This window comes from Homo sapiens, chromosome 5 (assembly GCF_000001405.40).
Source record: "Homo sapiens chromosome 5, GRCh38.p14 Primary Assembly".
Lineage (NCBI taxonomy): Eukaryota > Metazoa > Chordata > Mammalia > Primates > Hominidae > Homo > Homo sapiens.
This window is the reverse complement of record NC_000005.10, coordinates 177,528,903-177,554,169: the sequence shown is the minus strand read 5'-3', so window position 1 is coordinate 177,554,169 and position 25,267 is coordinate 177,528,903. Positions and strand designations below refer to the sequence as shown.

General features: G+C 48.1%; 1 protein-coding gene across 20 annotated transcripts in view, besides 1 other annotated feature; it reads left to right on the top strand.

Annotated features, from left to right (window-relative positions):
* The window catches only part of FAM193B (family with sequence similarity 193 member B), a 34,776-nt gene that overhangs the window by 394 nt on the left and 9,115 nt on the right, over window positions 1–25,267 (top strand). For 4 of the 20 annotated variants that reach the window (XR_427804.3, XR_007058607.1, XM_047417328.1 and 1 more), the window contains exons 2-6: window positions 15,023–15,265; window positions 16,063–16,297; window positions 17,425–17,812; window positions 21,529–21,727; window positions 22,649–22,888. Coding sequence is in view for 17 of the 20 variants with exons in the window: in XM_047417328.1 (XP_047273284.1) it covers window positions 15,023–15,265; window positions 16,063–16,297; window positions 17,425–17,812; window positions 21,529–21,727; window positions 22,649–22,888 (1,305 nt within the window). In the remaining 3 variants the exon portion in view is untranslated. Of the gene's footprint in view, window positions 1–74; window positions 1,003–2,038; window positions 2,129–6,941; window positions 7,003–15,022; window positions 15,266–15,308; window positions 15,863–16,062; window positions 16,298–17,424; window positions 17,813–21,528; window positions 21,728–21,969; window positions 22,218–22,648; window positions 22,889–25,267 lie in introns of those variants that run through there. The other 16 variants (XR_007058608.1, NM_001190946.3, NM_001366498.1 and 13 more) reach the window with 15 other exon arrangements.
* Window positions 329–438: a silencer, noted in NCBI's record as "silent region_16702". NCBI's record gives its function as "represses an Ori minimal core promoter by ATAC-STARR-seq in GM12878 lymphoblastoid cells {active_cell/tissue: GM12878}" and the evidence as "EXISTENCE:reporter gene assay evidence [ECO:0000049][PMID:35858748]".

Genomic DNA, 25,267 nt, shown 5'->3' with positions numbered 1-25,267 from the left:
GGATGGGCCATCCTGCCGCGGCTGGGGTAGCAGCCTTCCCCCGGGTCCGGCGCCGAAGCTTTCTCCCCCGGGGCGGGAATGGAGGCTGGACCCCTCTCCCCAAAGCCGAGGCTCGGTCCGCGCTCCTGCGACTAGGCTGAAGCTGCTCCCCTCTCCCCGCCGCCTCCGGGCGTTCCGGCCGTACACCCACACTGGGACTGGGACTGGGACTGGGCTGTGATCCCGAGGCCGCAGCTCCGCTCTCGGCCCGCCACCTCCCCCGGGCCCACCTGCTCCCTCAGCCACAGGCCATCTCGGGGCTCTGGGACTGGACGACTGCAGCCTCTTCCCTCTGCCCCCGGGAACGGCTCCACTCCGTCCCCTGCAGCGCCTGCAGCCGCGGCCCCCTCAGCAGCTGTGTCTCCTGGCGCCTCCTCGCCATACCCAGCAGAGCAGTTGGAGCAGACAGCCAGGCTGCCCGGAGGAGTTTTTGGTGGGGTTTCTGCACTGAGGTGGAAACCCAGCAGAACCTGCCCTTCTTCCCTCCCCTGCTCCGCAAGGCAGCCCACCCCGACCTTGAGATCCCAGGTTTGGAGAATCCTGCTGAGAGCGAACAGTAGGAGGATTCCCCAAAGCTTCCAGCTTGCCACCTGGAAGAAGGTCACTTTCTTTTGAGCAAAGGAGATAACGGGAGGTACCCTGCCAAAGTTCACTGAGAGGCGGGGGTGACATGGGCCACGGTTGCTCTGGGAGGGTTGTGGCACTCGGGGCTGGGTGGCTCTCCCTAAGCTTGCTCTGACAAAAGAGTTTTGAGTTGGTCTTTTGGCTGAGCCTGCCCAGGAAGGCAGGCTCCTGCAGGAGTCTTGGAGGGTCGGATGCGGCGCCGGATGAGGATGAGGCGTGGCGGAAGATGCGTTTGGCTCTGCAGACACTGCATCGGGCAGCAGGGGACTCTGGGAGGCTGGTGCAGCCAGAAGGCATGGCTCTTGACAGCCTTCTAGTAGAATCTCTGGAATTGTGCATGTGAGTGGGGTTGCCGTTTGGGGTACCTTCCCACAAAGCCTCCCCTGACCTCCCCAGTTGCGTCAGGTGCCCTCTCTGTGCCCACAGCCCTCTGTGCCTCCCTCTGGTAGCACTCCCCTTTCTGTGATGAAACATTGTGTTGATATGTCTGTTGCCTGCCCTGGACTGTGAACTCCACAGGGACACAGGCTATGCCATCTTTCTCTGATCTTCCACGCCTCGCCCAGGGCCTTGCTAACACAGAATAAAAATAACTAGGTGAATGAGAGAGAAAATGAATCGGTCCAGAACCCGTGCTTATTGTAACCCAGTTTTCATGCTGATTTCCTTTGTGTCTCAGATCACAATAAGGTTTTTAATTAATGAAAATGTCAGCACTTACTGAGTGTCAGAAGCTCCACCTTCATCCGCATCCCCATCTCCTATCCTAGGCTGACACTTCCGTAGGAGACTCCCCAGGTTGGACCCCCAACCCCTACTGGGTCTAGCTTCCAACCCCAAAGCTGCTTCCCCCACCAGCCTACTCTGGGACCCCCGTGGGAGTGCTGTTATCCAAAAAGGGAGAGTGGGAGAAGGGAGAGCTGGAAAGCTGTTGTCTTCTCTTCTTCCCATTCAGCAGACCATAGAATACTTCAGGGTCTCTGCCACATAGAGATGCCAAAAAGCTTGGATGATGGCTCAACCATTCAGTTTTTATTAAGGACACAACTTTGCCAAGAGCTCTAAGCTTCATCAATTTCTTTGACATCTAGGTTCCTACCATGTTCTTACCTACTCCACTACTTGACCTGCTGATTCATTTATTTGTGCCAGGCACTTTACATACCTTACTTCTAATCTTCCCACCTCACCTGTATTTCTCCGCAGCGTTTAGCACAAATATGATGAATTGACCATTGATGTGATTATTTGTTTTTATTTGTGAACTCTGCGAGTTCAGGAGCCATGTCAGTCACCATTGTACCCCTGTGCCTGGTGGTTAACAAATATTGATCAACAAACTGGAGGATATAATTATCATTACTCCATTTTTCAGATGAAGAAACAGAAACTCAGAGCAACTAAACATTTGCCCAAATGACTCCAACTGTAGGTGTCAGACAAAAGAAAAGAAAAGGACTTTTAGGTACTTTGGGGGATTTTCAACAAGGCATTTTTTTTTAAACTATAGCCCCAAAGAAGGGAAACAAACTGGTAAATTCGGTTCTAGTTATGCCCCACTTTGACCGGGGGTGGGGTCTGGAAGCAGGCTTTTGTGCCCTGGTGCAAAGCACCTAGTGTAAGGGTAGGGTTCAGTCATTGCTCTGCCTACAAGCGTGTTTTTGGTGAGGAACTCTGGCTCCCATTGCCACTCATAACCCTGTCTTACATCTACAGAGTGGATAAGGAAGATGAAACTCAGTGTCATATACCAAACTGAATCCAAAGGTGGCAAATAAGACCACTTCCAGTCCACAGGCTTGTTGTAATGCCCCAGCTCACATATTGTTTTGTTTCTGTTTTTATTTTCATTTGAGCCAATATTTTAAAGATCAAAAGGTTTCCCACACATTTGGATTTGGGGCTCTTTTTTAAACTAAAGATATGGTGATGCTGGGTCCACTTTTCCACAAGGCAGTAATCAGTAGTCTCTGAGTAGCATTTGGCCCTTTTAGACAGCGTATGCTCCTTAGGCATCTTTGGTTCTTTCCAGGCCCCTTCACTCATTGGCATAACCTGTACACATTTAAAGCAGGACCTTGAGTTTAATTGGGATCCCAAATGGCTTTCAATTGTTTCAGGCCACTAAACCACATTGATCTGTTTCCTAACAACCCAAATCCTCGTTTATAGCACAAGAAGGCTGAAACAGTTACTACCTTATTAGCAAAGGAAAACAAAACAAACAAAAAAAAAAATAAAGAACAACTGAAAAAGCAATTGTAGGAGGCAGTGGGGAATAGTGTTTAGAGACTTGGATTGAATTCCCAGCTTAGCCTCCTAGCTTTGTGACTCCGCAAGTTGCTTCTCTCTGACCCCATCAGGAACTTCACAAGAGGCCTTGGTGGCTCACGCCTGTAATCCCGGCACTTTGGGAGGCTGAGGCAGGAGGATCTCTTGAGGCCAGAAGTTTGAGACCAGCATTGGTGACATAGTGAGATCTCTGGTTCTATAAAAAAAAAAAAATCAAAACTTAGCTGGGCATGGGTTCACACCTATAGTCTCAGCTAGTTGGGATGCTGAGGCGGGAGGATTGCTTGAACCCAGGAATTAAGTTACCCAGGACTTCATGTGCACGCCACTGCACCCCAGCCTGGGGGAGAGAGGGAAACACCGTCTCCTTTTAAAATAATAATAATACTTCACAAGAGAAGCAACCTATGCAGCAGCTAGTACATAGAAGCGCCTCACCTAAGAGAGGGGGCAGGAGCTGTGCCAGGTGGCCATACAAAGCCTGAGTGTTCTGGCCTGTTAGCTCTGCTAGCTGTCTTTCATCTCTCTTGGACCACTGAGTTTGTAATCCAGTGTACACTCAATAAGCCCCCAGGAGACTTGCTAGGATGTAAGCCAGCAGTTGGTGAGGAGAGGTGAACTCATCCTACCCTTCCCCACCTCTTGTTCCCTCCACATTGTCCTCTGGGACTTTGCCCAGTCTAGTTTAAAGGGACTCTAGAGATCCGATTCTTCCACTGTTCCCTCAAGAAATTGGAGCAGATGATTAGTCAGTATCTTTAATAAAAGCATCTCATTATGTTTAATTCACTCAGCAGATACCAAAACCACCTCTGTGCCAGGACCTTTATTTGGGGTGCACAGATGGATAAGATAGTTCCTATCTTTGGGGACCTCCCCCTTAGAATCAGTGCCTACCCAGCCTGCACTACTTCCATTGTCAGTAGGAGGAAATGATACTGAGGGGATCCTTGCCACCTCTGGTTCTTCTTTGTAAGCCAGTAGAGACTCACTATATAAAAATGTCAAAAGACCTTTGAAAATGAAGACTTACCCACTTAGGATTTTAATTTTTTTTTTTAATTTAGAGATAGGATCTTGCTATGTTGCCCAGGCTATCCTCAAACTCCTGGACTCAAGTGATACTTCTCCTTAAGCCTCCCAAATAGCTGGGACTACATGTGCATGCCACTACACCCAGCTGAGTTTTAAATTTTTAATTTTTGATATCAGATGGATGATCCTAACACCTTTACTTACCTCATCTAGAATTTTTTAGAGCAGGGTCTATGTTTTAATTTATTTGGGGGGAAATATATTGTGTGTGGACCTTATATACTCAATACATGGCTGTTAAAAATTATAATAAGTAAGGATTCTACCACTTTGTTCTTGTCTGCCCCCACAACTGGGCCAGGCTGGCAGTTATTCATTTAGGCCAGCCATTCGCATGCTGTGATGCCCAGTTTTATTTCACATGGCATTTATTGTGCAGACACTAACCGATCCCAGCTCTGTGCCAGGCCTGGGCTAGCTGCGCATGCAGAAGTGAATCAGACATAGTCCCTTCCCACAAGGGGCTCATAGTCTAGAGAACGTGTGTATAGTAATTGCAGTAATGCTAGAAGGAGATATAGCATCGGCTTCCTCTGAATAAAGGTTCAAATCCTGGACCCTATTAAGTGGCCTTTGCAAGTGTTTCAGCCTCTTGGTTTGTTTTCTCATGTATAAAATGACAATCCAGGCTGGGCGCGGTGGCTCATGCCTGTAATCCCAGCACTTTGGGAGGCCGAGGCGGGAGGATCACGAGGTCAGGAGATCGAGACCATCCTGGCTAACACGGTGAAACCCTGTCTCTACTAAAAATACAAAAAAATTAGCCGGGCATGGTGGCGGGCACCTATAGTCCCAGCTACTTTGGAGGCTGAGGCAGGAGAATGGCGTGAACCTGGGAGGTGGAGCTTGCAGTGAGCCAAGATCGCGCCACTGCACTCCAGCCTGGGCGACAGAGCGAGACTCCTTTCTCAAAAAAAAAAAAAAAAAAAAAAGAAAAGACAATCCAGTCTTACATGGTTAATGTTAGGGTCCAACAAGTGCGGTATGCTTAACACAAGTGGTAGCTCTGAGTATTGTAGATATTTGGTGTCAGGGTTGCCCAAGACATAACCTAGAGGAAGATGGGTCAGAGAATGCTTCTCAGAGCTGAGTCTTCAAGGTTGTGTAGAAGTTCTCCAGAGGACAAGGTGGTAGAAAGGAGTCTAAACAAAGGAAGGAACTTGTACAAAGACCCAGGGCGAGCACCACTCATTTGGAGAGTCGGGAGAGATCCGGCTGAAGGGGCTAGCAGGGTTCTTGAAAACCACACCAAGAGGTTTAGGCTTTATCCTGTAGGTGGTGAAGAATCAATGAAAGGTTTTAAGCAGGAAAGAGAACGTGATGTGCTTCAATACATTCTCTGATAGCATGTGAGGAAGTAATTCTCAGTGGGAGAGACAGCTGTGATTGCTTGATTCCACCTCTCCCTTGCCCCAAGCTAATAATCATCAGATCCCCTGTGCTTTGCTGGACCCTATCCCAGACTTACAGAGTCAGTCTCCAGGTCTGGATCCCAGGTATCTATTGTTGAATTGTTCCCAAGTGACTCTGACATGTGACTGGGTCTGGGAGCTGCTGAATTGAGGGTGCCAGGGGGATCTTTGAGGAGACCTAGGGTATTCTTCAAACAGTGGGTTTCCCAGGGAGGAGCTTTTCCATAAACAAGAACAGAAACAACCTTAGTTTAAAACAGAACAAAAAACCTTCCCCCAGTTCTGATCTATTAATGATATTTGCCAACTTCCATTGTGTATAATCTTCCATTGTGTATCCAAACACTTACCTGTGCCTACTCTGTGCTACAGCTTCTGCTGAATGACTGCAATACAGTGACTTGTGGGACACAGGCTCTGCCCTTGAAAAGCTCACAGTATTGTGGAAAGGACAGATTTCAACCACTAGAATATATATGATAAGCTCTATTCTAGAGATACGTTTTTAAACAAAAGAGTGTTAGGATATCCTAGAGCAAAGCCAAGTTCATTCTTCCTGTGGACTTAAGAGGATGTAACACCCAGATCGAGCCTAAAAAAAAGAGAAGAAAAAGGCAGAAGGAACAGCATATGGGAAGGTGTGACTACTTTATGTATTTGGTCCTTCTTGGCAGGATGTGCAGAAGCAGAGAAGGACTGAGGAGAGGCATGCTATGTCTTGGGAAGGGCCCTGTGTGTGTGCCTTCGGTTCTGTGCCTGTGAGCCTGCCTTCATCCTTCAGACTCTGGGTGGCTCCCAGCACAGCAGCTGCATGGTTGTGCAGCCTGTGGGCCAACATGCTGCAGTCCATCTCCCCTTCATTCTCCACCAAAGGCCCTTAGCTCCCTTTATTATTTCCCCCTCCATGCTTAGGATGCTTAGCACAAGTGGTAGCTACGAGTAGATCTATCTACTGTGAAAAATGATGTAGGGAAACTAAAGCAGAAAGAAGGGGCTGGTGGAACTGCAAACACTGAAGGTTTTATTAGGAAGTTATAGCCAGAAAACAAGGAGCTGGGGGTTCAAAGAGGCCTTGAAGTCACTTGTCTAGTCCTTCTGTCCTTTGCTTCAAGAAATAAATTTGGGGCCGGGCGCGGTGGCTCACGCCTGTAATCCCAGCACTTTGGGAGGCCGAGACGGGAGGATCACGAGGTCAGGAGATCGAGACCATCCTGGCTAACACGGTGAAACCCCGTCTCTACTAAAAAATACAAAAATTAGCCGGGCATGGTGGCGCGTGCCTGTAGTCCCAGCTACACAGGAGGCTGAGGCAGGAGAATGGCGTGAACCCGGGAGGCGGAGCTTGCAGTGAGTCGAGATCGCGCCACTGCACTCCAGCCTGGGCGACAGAGCGAAACTCCGTCTCAAAAAAAAAAAAAAAAGAAATAAATTTGGTTTGGGCAAGTCTCACTTAGTAAGTTTCCCTGTCATTTCTTCCAGGGCAGAAGAGGAAAGAAACTAACGGGTATTGAGCACCTACTTTGTGCCAGGCCCAGGCCAGGTACTTTACATAATTTATTTCCTTCTGTCCTCACAACTCTGTAAAATATGGTTTTATTCCCATTTCATAAATGAGGAAATTGAGGCTCAAAGAAATTGAGTAATATTCCAAGATCATATTGAAAATGGCAACTGGGATTTGAACTCACAACTGTGTGTCTCGTCCCCAAAATTCATGCTCTTCCTCCTCCATGAGTAACGTGTGCTGGGGTTAGAGTAGCAGAGTGGCAGTTTGACCTGAGGATTCAGGTAAATCTGCGGCTTGGGCCCTCCTTGTGGCTCATTGCACCCAGGAGGCAGTTCAGCGGATGAGCTAGCCTTGTGGGGATATTAAAACAGAAAGTTTTAGGGTTAAGGTCACTAGGATCAGAGAGACTCACTCCCAACCGAGCTTGTACAACCAGAAAGGATTCTCCACTGACTAGTCTCGTAGTGTGAAACAGCTGTTCTACCTCCTGGAAGGGCCTGAGCCCACAGCCTGCATGGAAGTTTGGGTAACAGCTCCAGGGCACTGAGGTGGGGTTGTGTCAGCTCTCTTAGAATTAACTGCAGCTCTGATTGTCAGCATTAGAATAGTCTGAGATTCTTCTCACTGATTGCCCTCTCATCAGTGGCTCAGAGTGACTCATAGCATGTTGGGAAATGCACTGTTTTGGCTCTGTTTTAAATTCTGCCTTTGTGTTGAACAGCTGAGACATGAGCCAGATGGGCTTTAAGCTTTCATTTATTTATTCAGTGAATGCCTGCAATGTGTCAGGCCCAAGCCAAGCCTAGGTTCCTGGGCATACTTAAATGACCAAGGTCCACACACTGCCCCCAGAGGGCTCACATTCTACCAGGAATTTAGGAACAGACAGAATACATCTGTGGCACATTTTGATGATGCTATACTAAATAGAATCAGTTGTGCTTAGCTTGACCAGCAAGAGCTTCATTGACCTTTGACCAGAATCTTAGGGAATGAATAGGAATTGTCAAGGGTAGATGTTTCCCGGCACTTAGCACAATTGGCAGGAGACAGGGACTCTGACAATGTTGAATGAGGGAATAAATGGGTGAATGGAAGAGTGACTGATGATAACTATGACAATGAGTTTTTCTAGGCTGAGGATTAATCATTTTCTCTGCTTCTGAAAGGGAATTTTAGCTGCTGGTGTTGTCCTCTGCCTGCCTTGGTGACAGAGAGGCTCTTGGAGTTGGGTGCCTTGAGAGTAGAGTGCTCTAATGGGCCATTTCAAAATAGAATTTGGGACCTGTTGCAGGGCAGCTGGTTAGATACAGCATGTGTCTTGGGGCAATCCTGTACGAACATACACAAACTCTGGAGATGAAAAAGAATCCATGGGATGAATGAGGCCACGCTGAGTGCTGGAAATTCAATCCAGCTTCAGAGTAGTCCTTGACAGCTGTCTGGTCTGGCAATGGGTTATTCCCAAATTGTGGACAGAAAGGCCAAGCTAGAAAATTGAGTCATGCCCCCAGAGAGCTATCTTTTTTTTTTTTTTTTTTTGAGACAGGCTCTCACTGTTACCCAGTTTGGAGTACAATGGTGCAATCTTGGCTCACTGCAACCTCCGTCACTTGGGCTTGAGCAATCCTCCAACCTCAGGAGACCTTATATATTCCTAAAAATTATTGAGGAACCCAAAGAGCTTTTGTTTGTGTTGTTTATATCTATTGATACTTACCAAATTAAATATTAAAGCTGAGAAAGCTTTAAAATATTTTGTCACTAATTTATTTAAGAAAGACAATATTAAAGCTATCTTGTTAACATAACAATTTTTAATGAAAACTATATTTTCCAAAACAAAATTAGAAGAATGGCCAGGTGTGGTGGCTCATGCCTGTAATGCCAGCACTTTGAGAGGCTGAGGCAGGCGGATCACTTGAGGTCAGGAGTTCAAGACCGGCATGGCCAACATGGTGAAACCCTGTCTCTACTAAAAATATAAAAATTAGTCAGGCGTATTGGCAGGCGCCTGTAATCCTAGCCACTTGGGAGGCTGAGGCAGGAGAACCGCTTGAACATGGGAGGTGGAGGTTGCAGTGAGCTGAGATCATGCCACTGCACTCCAGCCTGGATGACAGAGCGAGATTTCATCTTAAAAAAAAAATTAGAAGAATGGTCTTCTTTTCATTTTTGCAAATTTCTTTTCATCTGGCTTAATAGACTAAAGCTGGCTTCTCATATATGCTTCTGTATTCAGTCTTTTGCAATACATTGTTTTGGTTGAAGTATATGAAAAAAAATCCAACCTCACACAAATATGTAAGTGAGAAAGGGAGGAATGTTTCAGTAGCCTTTCCAAATAATTTCCATTATTGAATTTGAGCCCATATCAGTGAAGTCTTCATACTCATTTACACTAAAATCTATTGGTCGAGCCAGTGCTTTGAATCCATCATGCTTTGGTCATTTGGAAAATAGGCTCACTGGATTTTGCACATCTTCCAAATGTTTTCCATTTCATTTTACAATGCCAAAAGATAACATTTGTTAATATCACCACCAATTTCATCAGAAAAGTCTTCAAGTATTTGGAAGCTGTCAAACTCATGGTGGTAGATGCAAGTTTCAGAATTTTAATTTTCACTTGAAAGCTTGCATTTTATATCATTGCCCACAAATACTGTCAGTTGTTTTCCTTGAAGTGACAGGCTCATTTTATTCATTGTTCATTTTTTTGAGAAAATGTCTGCCAATACCCAAGTCTAAATAGTAAGTCATTCTTTCAGTTAAAAAATGGTGTTCCATGAAAAAAAGTGGCTTCCTCTTCCTTTGATTTTATCTCTCTTTTATCCAGGAAAAACTAGAATGCCCTAACTTAATGCTTCTCAGGCCAAGACAAAAAAGTCTTGGGCCTGATCTGGTAAGGGAGCAGAGATAATGGTTTTAATGGCTACAGATGCCAGCCCCCTAGGCCCTAGAGTGCACCTAGAGCTCACTTGGCCCCTTCACTGCTCTGGGGATGTGCATGCTACAGCATGGATCCCTTGTGAGTAATCTCACACTCTCCAGAGATTCTGGTTATGCTTAGAGTGAAGAAAAATTATCTTGGAGCTTTTTTGAGGAGATCCCAAATCAGTAGAACCCCCAGAACTTTTCTTCCCTCATCTTTTGCCTAAGGCTAGACCTGCATCCTCAGAGGCTCTGAAATTTAAACTGAGGTGAGCAGGAACAATGGGCTGCTGCCCAGGGCTGCTGGATTCAAGAATCAGTTCCATCAGCCTTTGTGATGAAGAAAAATGGTTGGAGTTTTCATTCATTGGATGAACATTTACTGATCTCTTCTTTGTGTAGGAATACTGTGCCAGGTGCTAAAAGTACAGCTTGGGAGCAGCTGATTGAAAGTCTGGGTTGACCGACTTTTCAGGGCATAAGGGGTCATGAATGCCAGAATTTGGGAAATGGCAGCAGATCACAGTCAAAGGGAACTCTGAACCAAGAGCTGTTCTCTGCCAAAGCAAAAATTTGAAGGAACCAGTGGCATTACTGACTATAAATATAACATCTCTAGGGCTTGGGATTCTTATCACCCTCTAGCAATTAAAGTGGAGATGAAAGTAGCAGAGGAAAGTTCCCAGTTCCACAAGGCATCATACCTAGGGGCAGGCGCCATGGCCTAGAGTTCAGACATCAGCTTTAGGGGTGGCCCCTCAAACTGCCTGGGCCTCAAAGAAGGACTCAAGTGTACCAAACTCAGAGAGGACAGTGGATAAACTAGTCTTCAATGTAGACTTAGAACAGAACAGCCAAGGGGCTTAGATAATAGATTGAGTGCCTGCAGCCTGGATCCCTTGAGCTAAGTGCTTTGTATCTCTAATGTGACTTAATCCTGTGGGCAGCTTTATGCAGCATGGGTGGTATCATCACTCAGTTCTGTGGGCAGCTTCAATTAGAGCTTAATTAGCTTTTCAGGCCCTGTGTTTCTTGCTTTAACTAGGAAGACAACCTATCCTGTAAAGTCACTTCTAGTGATGGCTAATCTCATTTATTTTGTGTACCATTTTGGCTCTCGGGAGAGTCACATTATTTCCATTAACTGGGGGCATCTCATTATAATCCCTAAAGAATGCAGTCTTTTACTCTTAACGCGGTTAAGATTGGAACCATTCTGGAGGTCAGGTGGACAGATGGGCCTTTCTCTGTAGGCAGCAGTAATTTCAAGCAGTGTCTCATTGGACTGCCTGCCGGCTGCATTGCCATGGGGACACCTAGCAAATCTGAGTTCTCTACCACATGGCCCACTGAGTCCATGCCTGAAGCCAGGCCCTGTGCTGCACTGTGAGGGATCCAGACAGGAATCAGACCTGGCACCTGCCTCTTGTAGAAGGGATGGAAGATACAGGAAAATAAATTGTGCAGAAGACACAACTACTGTAACCAAGGCACAGTGTACTAGGAGGAGATGGGAGAGGAGAAGTGAATTACGAGAGGAGAAAGCCTAGAGGAGGTTGGACTTAAATTGAGCCTTTAGTCTCAGCTAGTCATTGGAAAAACATGAGAAGAAAGTGGGTTTTAAGCAAGGAATCACCTTTAGCGAAAGCATGAAATAGAAAAAGGCAGAGATTATTTTGGGAACTTAGGGAATGACTTCATGGGGTTGAGGGGAGAGATTAAGATTTCTAACAAGTCAGTTTAGATTCATCATATATGAGAGACTCACGTTTGTGTAAAATGCAGTGACCATTTATTGTTTCCTATTGTTCCTGTCGTGTTAATGATGAATACCATGTGTTCAGCAACATCTATGTGCCTAGCACTGGACTAGGTGCTTTGTCACATTTATTTCTCACAGCTGACCCTACAAATTAGGACTTAATCCCATTTTACAGATGAGCAAACAGAGAGGGTAAGTAGAACTAGCCCAGCATCTTACAGCTGGTAAGTGATAGAGGCCAGGATTAATGCCAAAGCCAGTGTTGTTTCCACTGCGCCCCAGTGCCTTCCACAAGTACTTTGGCACTAAGTGCAGTCACACTGATTACACACTTAATTTATAAGAATTGTGTATTTGCTTTTAAAAACAGAAAACACACGTATCATACGTTTTATTACACATTTGAATTGTCGGTTATAACTACAAAACCATATACAGTCATTCCTCCACATCTGTGGATTCAACCAATTGTGGATAGAAAATATTCAAGGAAAGAAAAGGATGGTTGTGTCTATACTGAACAAGTATAGACTTTTTGCCTCGTCATTATTCCCTAAACAATACGGTATAGCAGCTATTTACATAGCATTTACACTGTATTAAATATAAGTAATCTGGAGATTGTGGGAGGGTGTGCATTGGTTATATACAAATATGACACCATTTTATATCAGAGATTGGAGCATCTGCAGATTTTGGTATCTGGGGGGTGTCCTGGAACTGATCCCCCATGAGTACTAAGGGATGACTGTATATTGTGCTTTATAGGCCACATAAAGAATTTCAGGCTGGGCACAGTGGCTCACGCCTGTAATCCTAGTACTTTGGGAGGCCGAGGCGGGCGGATCACGAGGTCAGGAGATTGAGACCATCCTGGCTAACACCGTGAAACCCCGTCTCCACTAAAAATACAAAAAAATTAGCCGGGCGTGGTGGCGGGCACCTGTAGTCCCGGCTACTCGGGAGGCTGAGGCAGGAGAATGGCGTGAACCTGGGAGGCGGAGCTTGCAGTGAGCCGAGATCGTACCACTGCACTCCAGCCTGGGCGACAGAGCGAGACTCCGTCTCAAAAGAAGAAAAAAAAAAGAATTTCGAGAATAACTATACAAGATTTTAATTGTATGTACTGACTTTCGAACCTAGCATGCAAATGAAATGAAACCGTTGTAGTAAAATTACATGTCTTGGTGCTCGCCTTGTGGTCATCATCATGGCAGGAAAAGGGACTCTATCTAGAGTTACTGTGGCACTTCGTAGCTATGGAAAGTTTCCTCTTTGCCTTAATTTCTCTGAATACCATCCTTCTCTATCCACCTTCCACCCCTGCAGTTGCCATTAAACAACTGTCTTGCTCATTGAAATGTTCCCTTGGCAGACACTGATTTAGGCTGTATCTTTTGTGAGTTCCACATGTAAAATTTCTGTCTCTCTGGTACTCTTTTTCTAAGTTCCTTGTACTTCCGAAAGTTTCATTATGCTTCTGGTACTACTGTTTGGTTCCTTTCTTTTTTGAGAAACCAAGGACCCAAGTCAGTGTAATGGTAACATTAGAGGTTTAAGGATACCCTAATGCTAACTCATTATGAGAAAGTAATTTCACGGGAGAAAAATGATGGCATTATCTTATTGGTAGGATGAGGGTGATACCCTTATTATTCCCGTAGGCCTCTGCAGACACATGTTACCCAGTGTTGGGTAAGTTTGGAAGGTATGTCAGTTAACTACCATTGCATAACAAACCACCTCCAAAACCTAGTGGTTTAAAACAATACCACTTTCTATCTCTCATGAGTCTGCTCTCGGCTGGGCTCACTCATGTTTCTCTGATCAGCTGGCCAATCAGCTGGGAAGACTTTGCTTTCTCCACAAGTCTCTCACATCCCTCCAGCAGCTAGCCTGGTCTCGCTCTCAGGCCATGGCAGAGGTTCAGGAGTGAGCAAGCCCAGCCGTGCATGGAAACAAGTGGAAATGTATACACACCTTTCAGGTTTATGGCTGGCAGCCTATTTGCTAACATCCCATTGGCCAAAGTGACATAGTCAAGCCCAGTGTCAGAGTGGGGGCAGATACAAAGTTGTAGGATATAGGAAGCTATTAATTGGAGGCATTAAATGTAATCAGTCTCCCAGTCAGGACCCCTCAATGTGAAAGCAAACCTACAGACTTATATTTGTTTTTCTTTTTTTTTTTTTTTTTTTGAGACGGAGTCTCGCTCTGTCGCCCAGGCTGGAGTGCAGTGGCGCGATCTTGGCTCACTGCAAGCTCCGCCTCCCAGGTTCAAGCGATTCTCCTGCCCCAGCCTCCCGAGTAGCTGGGACTACAGGTGCTTGCCACCATGCCCAGCTAATTTTTTTGTGTTTTTAGTGGAGACGGGGTTTCACTGTGTTAGCCAGGATGGTTTCGATCTCCTGACCTCGTGATCCGCCCACCTGGACCTCCCAAAGTGCTGGGATTACAGGCATGAGCTACCGCGCCCGGCCTGAGTTATATTTCTAAGCAAGTTTGTCACAGAAGGCAAAAAAAAAAGTCCAAATAATGACTGTATTGGGCCTATGCTATGGGCATACACAGGGTAGACACTTTACCTGCTACGCAGTGATGATCCTTACAACAACTCTGCAAGGTAGGTAGGAATTGGAGCCCAGAGAAGTTAAATAACTTGCTCAAGGTCACCCAGCCAGTATGTGTTCAGGCAGGAATTAGAATGCATATCTGTTTGATTTCAAAGCCCAGACTGTTTTCACCATACTCACTACCTCTCAGGAGCACCAACCAGAGCCTTACCTTCCCTCTGACACAATTTCCCATTGAGTTGATGCTTTCTGACTAGCTGTACAAACGCCTCCTCCAAAATGTTGCTGCGATCCTAAGGGAATTGTGCAATTCTTCAGAAAACCCACACATTCTCCTAAACTGTCCACTGACTAAAAGCATTCTTTCCTTCCAGATGGGCATTGGTCCCTGGGCTGTACAGGCAGCCCAAGAATTGTGGACACTCCCAGCCATGCCAGAGAGGGAAGGGCCATCTTCTCTTTAACCTTTAAGATTTGGGGATGTCAGAGAATTAGGATATTTGAGCATGAGTTTTGGAGCCAGACTCACTAGGGTTCAACCACTCGCTAGCTTTTAACCTTGGGCAACTCATTTAACTTCTTGAAATCTGTTTCTTCATCTTAAAAAATGGGAATAAGAACACCTCGTTTGCAGAGCTGTTACAAGGACTAAATTTTAATTATGTCTAAAAAGTGCCTAACCCAGTGCCTGGCACGTAATAAGTGGCATTACTAATATTGTTACTATTATTTTGAAGGAGAGCCTTTCCCCTCCTGGGAAACCCTGTTTCTGTCTGTTGGACAGGTCCCCCCCGCCTCCAGCCAGCCTGTGCAGACTTGCTGCCTGCTGTGTCACCGGGAACGCAAAGGCTGGGAAGAAGGCCCTTCTCAAAATGGACTGGTGTTGCAGGGTGAGAAGCTGCCCCCTGACTTCATGCCAAAGCTCGTCAAGAATCTCCTAGGCGAGATGCCTCTGTGGGTCTGCCAGAGTTGCCGAAAGAGCATGGAGGAAGATGAAAGGCAGACAGGTCGAGAACATGCAGTGGCGGTAGGTAACCGCTGACAGGGGTCCCTGAATGCAGGAGGGCTCCTCCCCAAGGAAGTCAGGCTGTTCCCTGTCCTCAGGTGGCTCTCCTTGGGCAGCTCCCATGCCCAGGCACTGAGAGACTTCTGGGCTGCACTGGCACAGCATTGGCAGCTCAAGTTCAGATTTGGGGGAAGAAGAGAAACTTCTGGCAGCCCACCGGTCAGTCCCTCAGGGTGGTCTGTGCACAGGATGAGGGCCCACTCATAGGTACTGGTAGATCACGAGCCTGCTGCCTTCGGCTCTGTGGCAGCTTGAAAGCCAACCAGTATGACATGGGAGACAGAGATGAGTTTGAGGGTCTGAAATGTGCCCTAGTTAGAAGGACAGACACTTGGGAGTCATCTAAGTCTGCTGTTTCATGAATCACGATGGCCAGACTTTCCTCATTTCTCACGTCGCTGCAGATCTTCCCTTTTACCCAGGAACAGTTTAGCTTCAGGACTCCTGGTCAAAAGGCCCTTCCTGTCATTGGCCGCTCTCTACTCCCCAAAGGCCCGCAGTTCACAGGCAGTCTCTGCCCCTACCAGAGTCTCTCTCCCCAGTCTCCACACATTGCATGTAAGTGGGACCACCGCAGCCCTTTCCCAGCAAAGGCCTGGCCCTCATTTGTTCTTATAGCTGGAGTTGTATTAATTGTGTTTTTGCTATGGCACATGGTCTGGAGGAGAAGGAGCTCCCTCAGGAAAAGCTGAGGCAGCAGAGGGTCAGCTCCGATGTTTGCTGTTTGACCGTGAGCCTTTTTCCTCCCCCTTCTCCAGATCTCCTTGTCACACACATCCTGCAAATCACAGTCTTGTGGAGATGACTCTCATTCGTCCTCGTCTTCCTCCTCATCATCCTCATCCTCGTCCTCCTCTTCCTGCCCTGGGAACTCGGGAGACTGGGATCCTAGCTCGTTCCTGTCGGCACATAAGCTCTCGGGCCTCTGGAATTCCCCACATTCCAGTGGGGCCATGCCAGGCAGCTCTCTTGGGAGTCCTCCTACCATCCCCGGTGAGTCTCCAGGCTCGGGAGAGAGCCAGGCCCTATAAATGTGGACAGCTGTGTTTTCCTATCCACTTTGTTCAAACAAATCATAAGACTGGTTACTAAAATAAGTAAAAGTGGAACTGTTCTGGTGGAAGCAGGGGCAGCTTAGACCTTGACTATTTCTGGAACTCCTTTCCCCACAACTCTGAACTTGAAAAATACTGCTAATAGAAAAACGTTTGCCTCTCAAAGTTGTCATTGGCTCTGGTAGTTCACATTGGATCAAGAGGGCATCCGGTGAGGTCTGTCTGAGTAGAAAGTGGAGTCATAGGACTTAGATCACCTGACCCCTGCAGCACCACAGAGGACCTGGGCAACCTTGTCTTCCTAGGCCTTGATTTCCCCACCTAAGGGATGGGTATAAAAGCACTGAATTTAAATGCCCAAGAGATTGGCAGTGTAAGCCGTAATAGTTATTAGCTAATTTAGCAGCTGTGTAAGTCTTCTTTGACCCTGAAATAACTCTCAGAGACCCAGAGACAAAACTCTTGGGTTATTGGTTTATTATGTAAATATGATTTACTGTCATACTTCTAAATGAAGGAGCTGAGTTCTTCAAAGTGGGTCTGCTCCCAGAATTATGAGTGTTGAGCAGTATATAATTCCATTAATTTTGGTACATAAGCTAGAGAGTCATCAGAACCTTTTTCCCACTTGTCTGAAATCTGGGGCCCTCAGGGGTCTGGCATGCCCTGCTGCTGTGGTACACGTGGCACAGAGGCAGAGCCTGGGCCTGCTGCTCCACTGGCTTCTGCAGATCATCCTCCAGGCCTGAGGAGCACCTGTGTACAAGCAGATCCTAGAGAGACCCTCAGAGACAGAATGCATATCTTCTGCTCATGCTGCAGAAAAGGCATGGGGCCTTGTGTGGAATCAGCATTCCTAGTACCTTCTTGCTTGGGCCTGGGCTCCTTGAGCCTGCTCAGCTGTGTTGCTGCCCACACAGAATCTTCTGCAGCTCCAGGGTCCCCTGTGCTGAGAGGCTGTGCCCTCTTGTCACAGAAGCAGGATGCTGTGGCAGTGAGCCTGTGGGCTTTCCTTCCCAGGTCTGGGCTCCCATTCTGACCCCTTTCTCCTCCCTCTGCCCACAGGTGAGGCTTTCCCCGTCTCGGAGCACCACCAGCACTCAGACCTCACTGCTCCCCCTAACAGCCCCACCGGCCACCACCCGCAGCCAGCATCTCTAATCCCGTCTCACCCCAGCTCCTTTGGCTCCCCACCCCACCCACACCTGCTGCCCACCACCCCGGCAGCACCTTTCCCTGCCCAGGCTTCAGAGTGCCCTGTTGCTGCTGCCACTGCCCCCCACACTCCAGGGCCATGTCAGAGCTCCCATCTACCCTCCACCAGCATGCCGCTCCTGAAGATGCCCCCACCATTCTCGGGGTGCAGCCACCCCTGCAGCGGGCACTGTGGTGGGCACTGCAGTGGGCCTCTCCTCCCACCCCCGAGCTCTCAGCCACTCCCTAGCACTCACAGGTAAGTGTGCTGCATGAAGGGCAAACTCGCTACCCACTTGAACTTAGAATTTTGGAAAATTTGGGGTTAACTTTGAGGTGGCAATTAAAAAGTAGACTATGTCTTTCCTTTCATTATTTTTCAATTGTAAAGAAGTATGTGTTTTGGCCTGGCACAGTGGCTCACACCTATACTCCTAGCGCTTTGGGAGTCCTAGGCAGGAAGATCACTTGAGCCTAGGAGTTTGAGACCAGCCTGGGCAACATGGCAAGACCCCCCTCTCTACAAAAAATTTTGAAAATTAGCCAGGCATGGTGGCATGCAACTGTAGTCCTAGCTACTCAGGAGGCTGAGGCAGGAGGATTGCCTGAACCCAGGAGTTTAGGGTTGCTGTGAGCATTGATCATGCCACTGCACTCCAGCCTGGGTGACAGAGCTTTAAAAAAAAAAAAAAAAATAGTATGTGGGGTTTTTTTGTTTTGTGTTTTGTTTTGTTTTAACTTGGAACAATTCAGAAATGTATAAGGAAAAAAATGTCTTCACAACCTAAACTTCTACCACTGTGGTATATTTTCACCATGTTTCTGTATATAAATAACATACTTAGATATTTGATATACCTTTCGTGTAGTAGTAATTTTTTAACATTATGTCATGATCATTTCCCCAGTTAAAATTCTTCAAGAAACTTTTCAATAGTCATATAATGTCTTACTGTATAGCTCAAGCATACTTTATCATTCCCCTATTCCTGGATATCTAGGCATTTCCAGTTGTTTAACCATAATGAATGAGACTGTAATAAGCATCCCTGCACCTAAATCTGTTTGAATGAGAAATCATGTCCTTCAGGGAGATTCCTAGAAGTAACTCTTAAGTACTAAGAAAGGTTATACTAACATATATTTGAAAGAGAATTCTTTGGAGAAGATAGAGGTATATTTTTATGTTAGAAATCAGATCTGTGTTTATCATGCATTTCTATCTTCCTATTGGAAAGTCTCCTGTGTCTGGCACATGCCGGGTTGACAGTGTCTGCAGTCTGCCACCCGCCGGTTTTCACTTAGCGTTGCCTCCTCAGCATATTTGTGTTCTCTTGTGGTGTTCTTAGCCTCTAGCTTCAAAGGCTGGAGAACATCGACCGCAATTCATGTTACTGTTCTCTAGTTGCTGAGCATTTGGGTTATTCGGACATTTTAACATTACCAACAGTGTCTCTAAAGATGTCTTTTCTTAAAGCCTTTTTCCTCTTTTGGATTTTTCTTGTTGGAATCAAGTTCTCAGAATGAAAAAAGTTACTAGTTAAAGGCTGTTTAGGTGTTTTTTGTTCTCTTTGAGGGTTCTTAATACACATTGAAAAACTGCTATCCAAAGGGGTCTCCAAACTGATGTAACCACCAATGAGTGCTGGTTTCCCATATTCACAAGCACACTATTTTAATTTTTCTAAAATCAATTTTGTGGCCTGGTGCCCAGCTCATGCCTATAATCCCAGCCCTTTGGGAGGCCGAGGCAGAAAGATTGCTTGAGCCCAGGAGTTGGAGACTAGCAAGGGCAACATAATGAGACTCTGTCTCTACAAAAAATTTAAAAACTAGTGGGGCATAATGTGCATGCCTCTAGTTCCAGCTACTTAGGTTGCGGGGGCTGAAGTGGGACAGGATCGCTTGAGCCTGGGAGATACAGGCTGCAGTGAGCTGACATCGTGCCACTGAACTCTAGCCTAGGCAACAAAGTGAGAGCCAGTCTCAAAATAGAAAATAAAATCAATTTTGCTGGCCAGGCGCGGTGGCTCATTCCTGTAATCCCAGCACTTTGGGAGGCTGAGGTGAGCAGATCACGAGGTCAAGAATTCCAGACCAGCCTGGCCAGCATGGTGAAACCTCATCTCTATTAAAAATACAAAAAAAAAAAATTAGCTGGGCATGGTGGCGTGTGTCTGTAGTCCCAGCTACTCAGGAGGCTGAGGCAGGAGAATCGCATGAACCTGGGAGGCGGAGGTTGCAGTGAGCCGAGGTCGCAACACTGCACTCCATCCAGCTTGGGCAACAGAGCGAGACTCCGTCTCCAAAAAAAAAAAAAAAAAATCAGTTTTGCTAATGCAATAGATAATGAATGGTTGGTTTAGAACAAACTTCTGTAAGCACCACTGATAATGATTCCTGCCACCATCTTTTTTAATCCACGTCACATGCTTAGCATCCTTTCTAGCAGCAGAGAGGGCTGCTTTGGACTGCCCTGGAAGCTGGGCCTCCACACAGCTCCTTGAGCTCCGTCCTTGCTCTCAGTTCCCCTGCCACCTCAGCCTCAGCCCAGCGTTGGGACCAGCCCAATGGGTGCTTCAGCTGCTCATGGCCCAGCCTAAGGCTTCAGCTCTTCCTGGCTCAAATTATGGGATGTTTCAGGCGTATGTCTCATTCTTACCCTGGGAAAATACTCTGTATTACAAGATATCCCAGTGCTTCCTGAAATCCAGAGGCAGAACAATACAGTGGAGAGAATATGAGCTTTGCATAGAGAGAAACGTGGGCTTGAGTTCCCCACATCTCCCCTGCCTGCACCCACCATGTACCCCTTCTCAGGGCACTGTGCACATCTCACTTTATCCTCCTGTTTATCGTGCATCATTGTCACTGTCTGTTTGCATCCTTGAGTCCTGGCCACCTGTTGGGCAAAGCAGTCAAGTACTCAGCTTCACTCTCTACCACTGCAAAGTGGGGATAATGACACTTATTTTGGAGGACTTGGGGGATGGTTAGAAATAATATGCCAAGGCCGGGCGCAGTGGCTCACGCCTGTAATCCCAGCACTTTGGGAGGCCGAGGCAGGTGGATCAACTAGGTCAGGAGATCGAGACCATCCTGGCTAACATGGTGAAACCCCATCTCTACTAAAAATACAAGAAAATTAGCCGGGCGTGGTTGCGGGCGCCTGTAGTCCCAGCTACTCGGGAGGCTGAGGCAGGAGAATGGCGTGAACCTGGGAGGCGGAGTTTGCAGTGAGCCGAGATCATGCCACTGCACTCCAGCCTGGGCGACACAGCAAGACTCCGTCTCAAAAAAAAAAAAAAAATGCCGACTCTAGAACCTGGCACAAACAGTGGCTCTTATAGTTGGTGTCCCAGAAGTCACTTGCTTTTTCTCAACTCCGTGCCCTGTGGTTAAGGCAGCTCCACCCATCTACTCCAGAGCACCAGAGTCTGCTCAGAAGCACCTTAGAAAGTGAAAGGAGACTGGCCTCATGGATAGCCCTGAGTGTTCCAGAGGAGCCTTCAGCCCACTAATGGGTTCAGGCCTATTTATTGAGCACCTGCTGTGTGCAGGGTTGTTATGCTACACACTGGGACCCAAAAACTGAAGCAACACAGCCCCTGCCCTTGAGGCGTGCAGTCCAGTTTGAGAGACAAATGCGCAAACAGACCATGACAGTGACGCACAATAAGCAGAAGATGGAGTGACGTGTGCACAGTAACCTGAGAAGGGGTGCATGGTGGGTGCAGGCAGGGGAGGCGTGGGGAAACCTTTCCAGAAGAGCCACATTTGTGTTTGGGATGGGCCTTGAGGGACAGTGCAGGTGTTCGCCCTGTTCAGGTGAGAGGTGCAATGTAGTTGGACCACCTGGGACCTCTGTGGAGTGGGGCAAGTGAAGGGCGGTCAGGATGGCAGGTGGTGGTTGGGATGCTTCCTGGGTTTCTGCATCACCCTGCCTCACCTCTGGGCCTTCCTCCCCATCATCAGGGATCCCGGGTGCAAGGGGCACAAGTTTGCACACAGTGGCCTGGCTTGCCAGCTGCCCCAGCCCTGCGAGGCAGATGAGGGGCTGGGTGAGGAAGAGGATAGCAGCTCTGAGCGAAGCTCCTGCACCTCATCCTCCACCCACCAGAGAGATGGGAAGTTCTGTGACTGCTGCTACTGTGAGTTCTTCGGCCACAATGCGGTGAGTGAGCCTGCCCAGGCTAGAGAGGGCTGGGGGCCAGCCAAGGTGAGCAAAAGGAGCACCCTGCTCTCCCCAGAGACCCCGTTGCTCACGGTGGTAATTACCGTGCTGGGGCCGTGAGTCCTTGCACCTGCGTCTGCTCGCTTGATCCTCACAGCACATTTGTGAGGTAGGGGTTTTTAAACATTTTGCTACCTTTGCTCTTCTCATGGTTTCTCTTAAGATTGACTTTTTTTCCTTAGGCAAAAGGAAAGGAAATGGCAGAGAGAAAGCTATGATTCTGATGAGTATGTATACGTGTGTAATCCCAGAGAAGTGAACGCTTGGGAGTGATGAAGGCAGAGTGGAAGCAAAAAGGCTCTCAGTCCCCCAAGTGTGACAGCCAGCCGAGGGACAGGCCGTGAGCACAGACGGCGCCAGGAAGGAGGCTCAGATCAGAGGGCATGCTGGCTCTGGCCAGGGGGAGGAAGCAGTGCAGAAGTCTCATAAGGTGAAGAGGAGAGGGCCGCTGGTTAGGGTAGAGCAGCTGAGGATAGAAGAAATGAAAGTAATTAAATTGCTAGTCACCTTTGAGCTAGGGGTTATTATCCTCATTTTAGAGATGACAAAATTGAGGCTCACAAAGACTCGGTGACTCGCCCAAGGTCATACAGCTTCCCAGTGACGAAGCCCGGGCTCCAACTTGTTTTTCTGGCTCCCCAGTCAGTGTTTGCCCAGCTCTGCCCTGTTCCCTCCTAGTCCCTTCACCCACTGCCGCCTGGATTCAGCCTGGCTGAGAGGGTGAAGCCATGTGGCCTTGGTGGCTAATGGTAGAGAGAACAGTTGTCTTGCTTCTCATCACATACTTGGTGCCCGTGGGAGGGAGTGCTGTGGGCCCCCCAGGCCCAGGGTGTAATGTCAGCACCTCCCCCCCACCCCCAGCCACCCGCTGCCCCGACGAGTCGGAACTATACCGAGATCCGGGAGAAGCTCCGCTCGAGGCTGACCAGGCGGAAAGAGGAGCTGCCCATGAAGGGGGGCACCCTGGGCGGGATCCCTGGGGAGCCCGCCGTGGACCACCGAGATGTGGATGAGCTGCTGGAATTCATCAACAGCACGGAGCCCAAAGTCCCCAACAGCGCCAGGGCCGCCAAGCGGGCCCGGCACAAGCTGAAAAAGAAGGTGGGTGTAGGGAGAGCCCAGCTCTGCCGTCTCTCCTCCCTGAGGACCCTCGCCCCAACCCCCAGGACTTCTGGGGCATGAATGATGCTGGCTGCCAAAGGCCTCAGCTTGGCTCACTGTTCTGGGAAGGTCTGAATGAGTTTGGGAGGCATCAGGGTCAGGGATCCTGGGGGCAAATAACTGGAGGAAAAAACGTGTCATGGCCTGAGAAGTTGCTTGCTGGATTCCTCCAAGCTGAGGACTTGCTTCAGTCAGTCATTTATTCATTCAGCAAACACTTCTACAAATACTGGCAGCCAAAGTGTGACACAGTTAAGTTCTCACCCAGAAGAAGCTGTCCAGTGGGGAGACTGACACAAAACTGGACAAGCATATTAGCATGTGACAAGTACTGGGATGAGGGAAGTCCCCCATCCTGCCTGGAAATGGCTTTACAAGAGGCTGACTGTGAGTACAGACTCCTCAGGAGGGCCCTCCTGGCAGCAGGCACGGCACATTCCACAGCAGCTTGACAGCCAAAACTGAGCAGAAGAGAGGCAGGATGGACAGTGTTGTTGAGGGAGGGCCTCTGAGGCCCTGCGGAAGAGCTGTGGCTTTATCCTACCGGTGAGAGAAGTCACTGAGGGTTTTAATCAAAGCATGCACTTGGTCACACCTGCATCCTAAGATTATGCCGTGGCCAAATGGAAGGTAGCTTGGAGGATTCCAGGCAGGAAGACCTCGAGTTCGATGCCTCAGGCAGGAAACGCAGGCCAAGGGAGAGATGATTGATTGTGGGGCCAGAGAAGAAGAGAGGGATTTTCAGAGGAAGCTGAAGTGATGGGCCTTTGATCTGATGGCAGGAGAGGGAGATGGAGGCAGGGATGTCTCCCAGGTGTTTGCTTGGTGACCAGCAAGATGGTGGTGCCTTTCACTGAGCCAGGATGGGATTTGCAGAAGACAGTGAATTCAGTTGAGGCATGTTGACTCGAAGGTTCCCGTGAGACATCTAAGTGGAGAAGTGCAGGGCTAGCATTTACCAGCGCAGAGATGTAATTGAAGCCAGGGGAATGAACCAGGCCTCGGGACTGAGGACAGAACCTGGTGATCTATTCCTCGGCAGCCCTCCTGCCAGATGAGCCCCAGAGCTTGATGGCTTGTCCCTTGTGGCTTCTTTACCTCTTCACCTGCCTACTCCCAACTGCATCTGCACAGTGACACGTTTAGGAGCCCAGCATCCGAAGAGATTTGGGTGTAACAACCAGCTAGTTCCAGTTCCTGGGTGGTCAAACAGCCCTAGTGCTTTGGAAAGCAGAAGTGATTCACCATCCTTTTTCAGCCCCAAGGACAACCAGGATCCTTCTCCCGCCGCCTGAAGTAGTGAGCCAAGGGGTCCCACCGCTGCCTTCTGAAGGTGGTCAGCACTGTCTTTCTCCCATGCAGTCACCTAGCCAGAAAGGTTCAGTGGGCTGCAGTAGTCTCTGGCCTTTCCTGGCTTCTTAGGACAGTGGTTCCCAGTTAGGTCCCCAGAGAGCACATCCGGCAGTTCCCAAGTCTGATGTGCTTTTCGTAAATATGTGTGCTCAGATGTCTCTTCCCCTTTACTGATAATGCTATCTTCTCTCACCTTTTCTTCTGACAAACTTTCCTTCCAAGTTCAGTTCAGCTGTTTCCTCCTTCATAGCCATCCTTGGGTAACTTCCACTGTACTCCCAACCTACCTCATATATCTGGAGGCTCTGCTCACTCATCCCACACTGCACAGCTCCTGTCTGGCAGGCCCAGGCAGAACCAGGCAGCCCTGCCTTTCCAGACTTAGTCGTGGGGCTGCAGGCAGGGACAGACACACAGTGGCAGCGTGATGCATCAAGTGATTATGGTCATTATCTCTGTAGACAGCAGCCTCCTCCCTTGTCTCCTTCCACCTCCTGGACTTCACAGTCTGGCTCTCCACCAAAGCCCAGCTGCTCCTTCTCTCCCGCCTCAGGAAATGGAAAGAGCTCAGTGTCTCTCTGCTCCCTTCTCCCACTGCCAGCCCGTGACACTCTCACCTTGTCTTTGTGTCTTCTGTCTACACGAAGGTGAGAGAGTCATGGGCTGACAGTGGGAGAAGGGAGCAGAGAGACACCCTGCTTCTTAAAAACTGCACCCCTGGCTCTGTCATCTGTGACCTCCTGCCACTCCTCCACATCCACTGAAGACTCTCCTGCCCCGTTCTCTTCTTCCCAGGTCAATCCGTTTCTCACTCACTTGAATGGAGTAAGCATTGCTAAGTATTGGTAGGAGGGCAGGCAAATTGACCCATCACTCACTCACTCACTCACCAGTACTCAATTCCTTGTCCCGCTGTCTTTCCTTCAGACCCACTCAGAAACACTGCAGCCCTGGGTTCCACCCCAG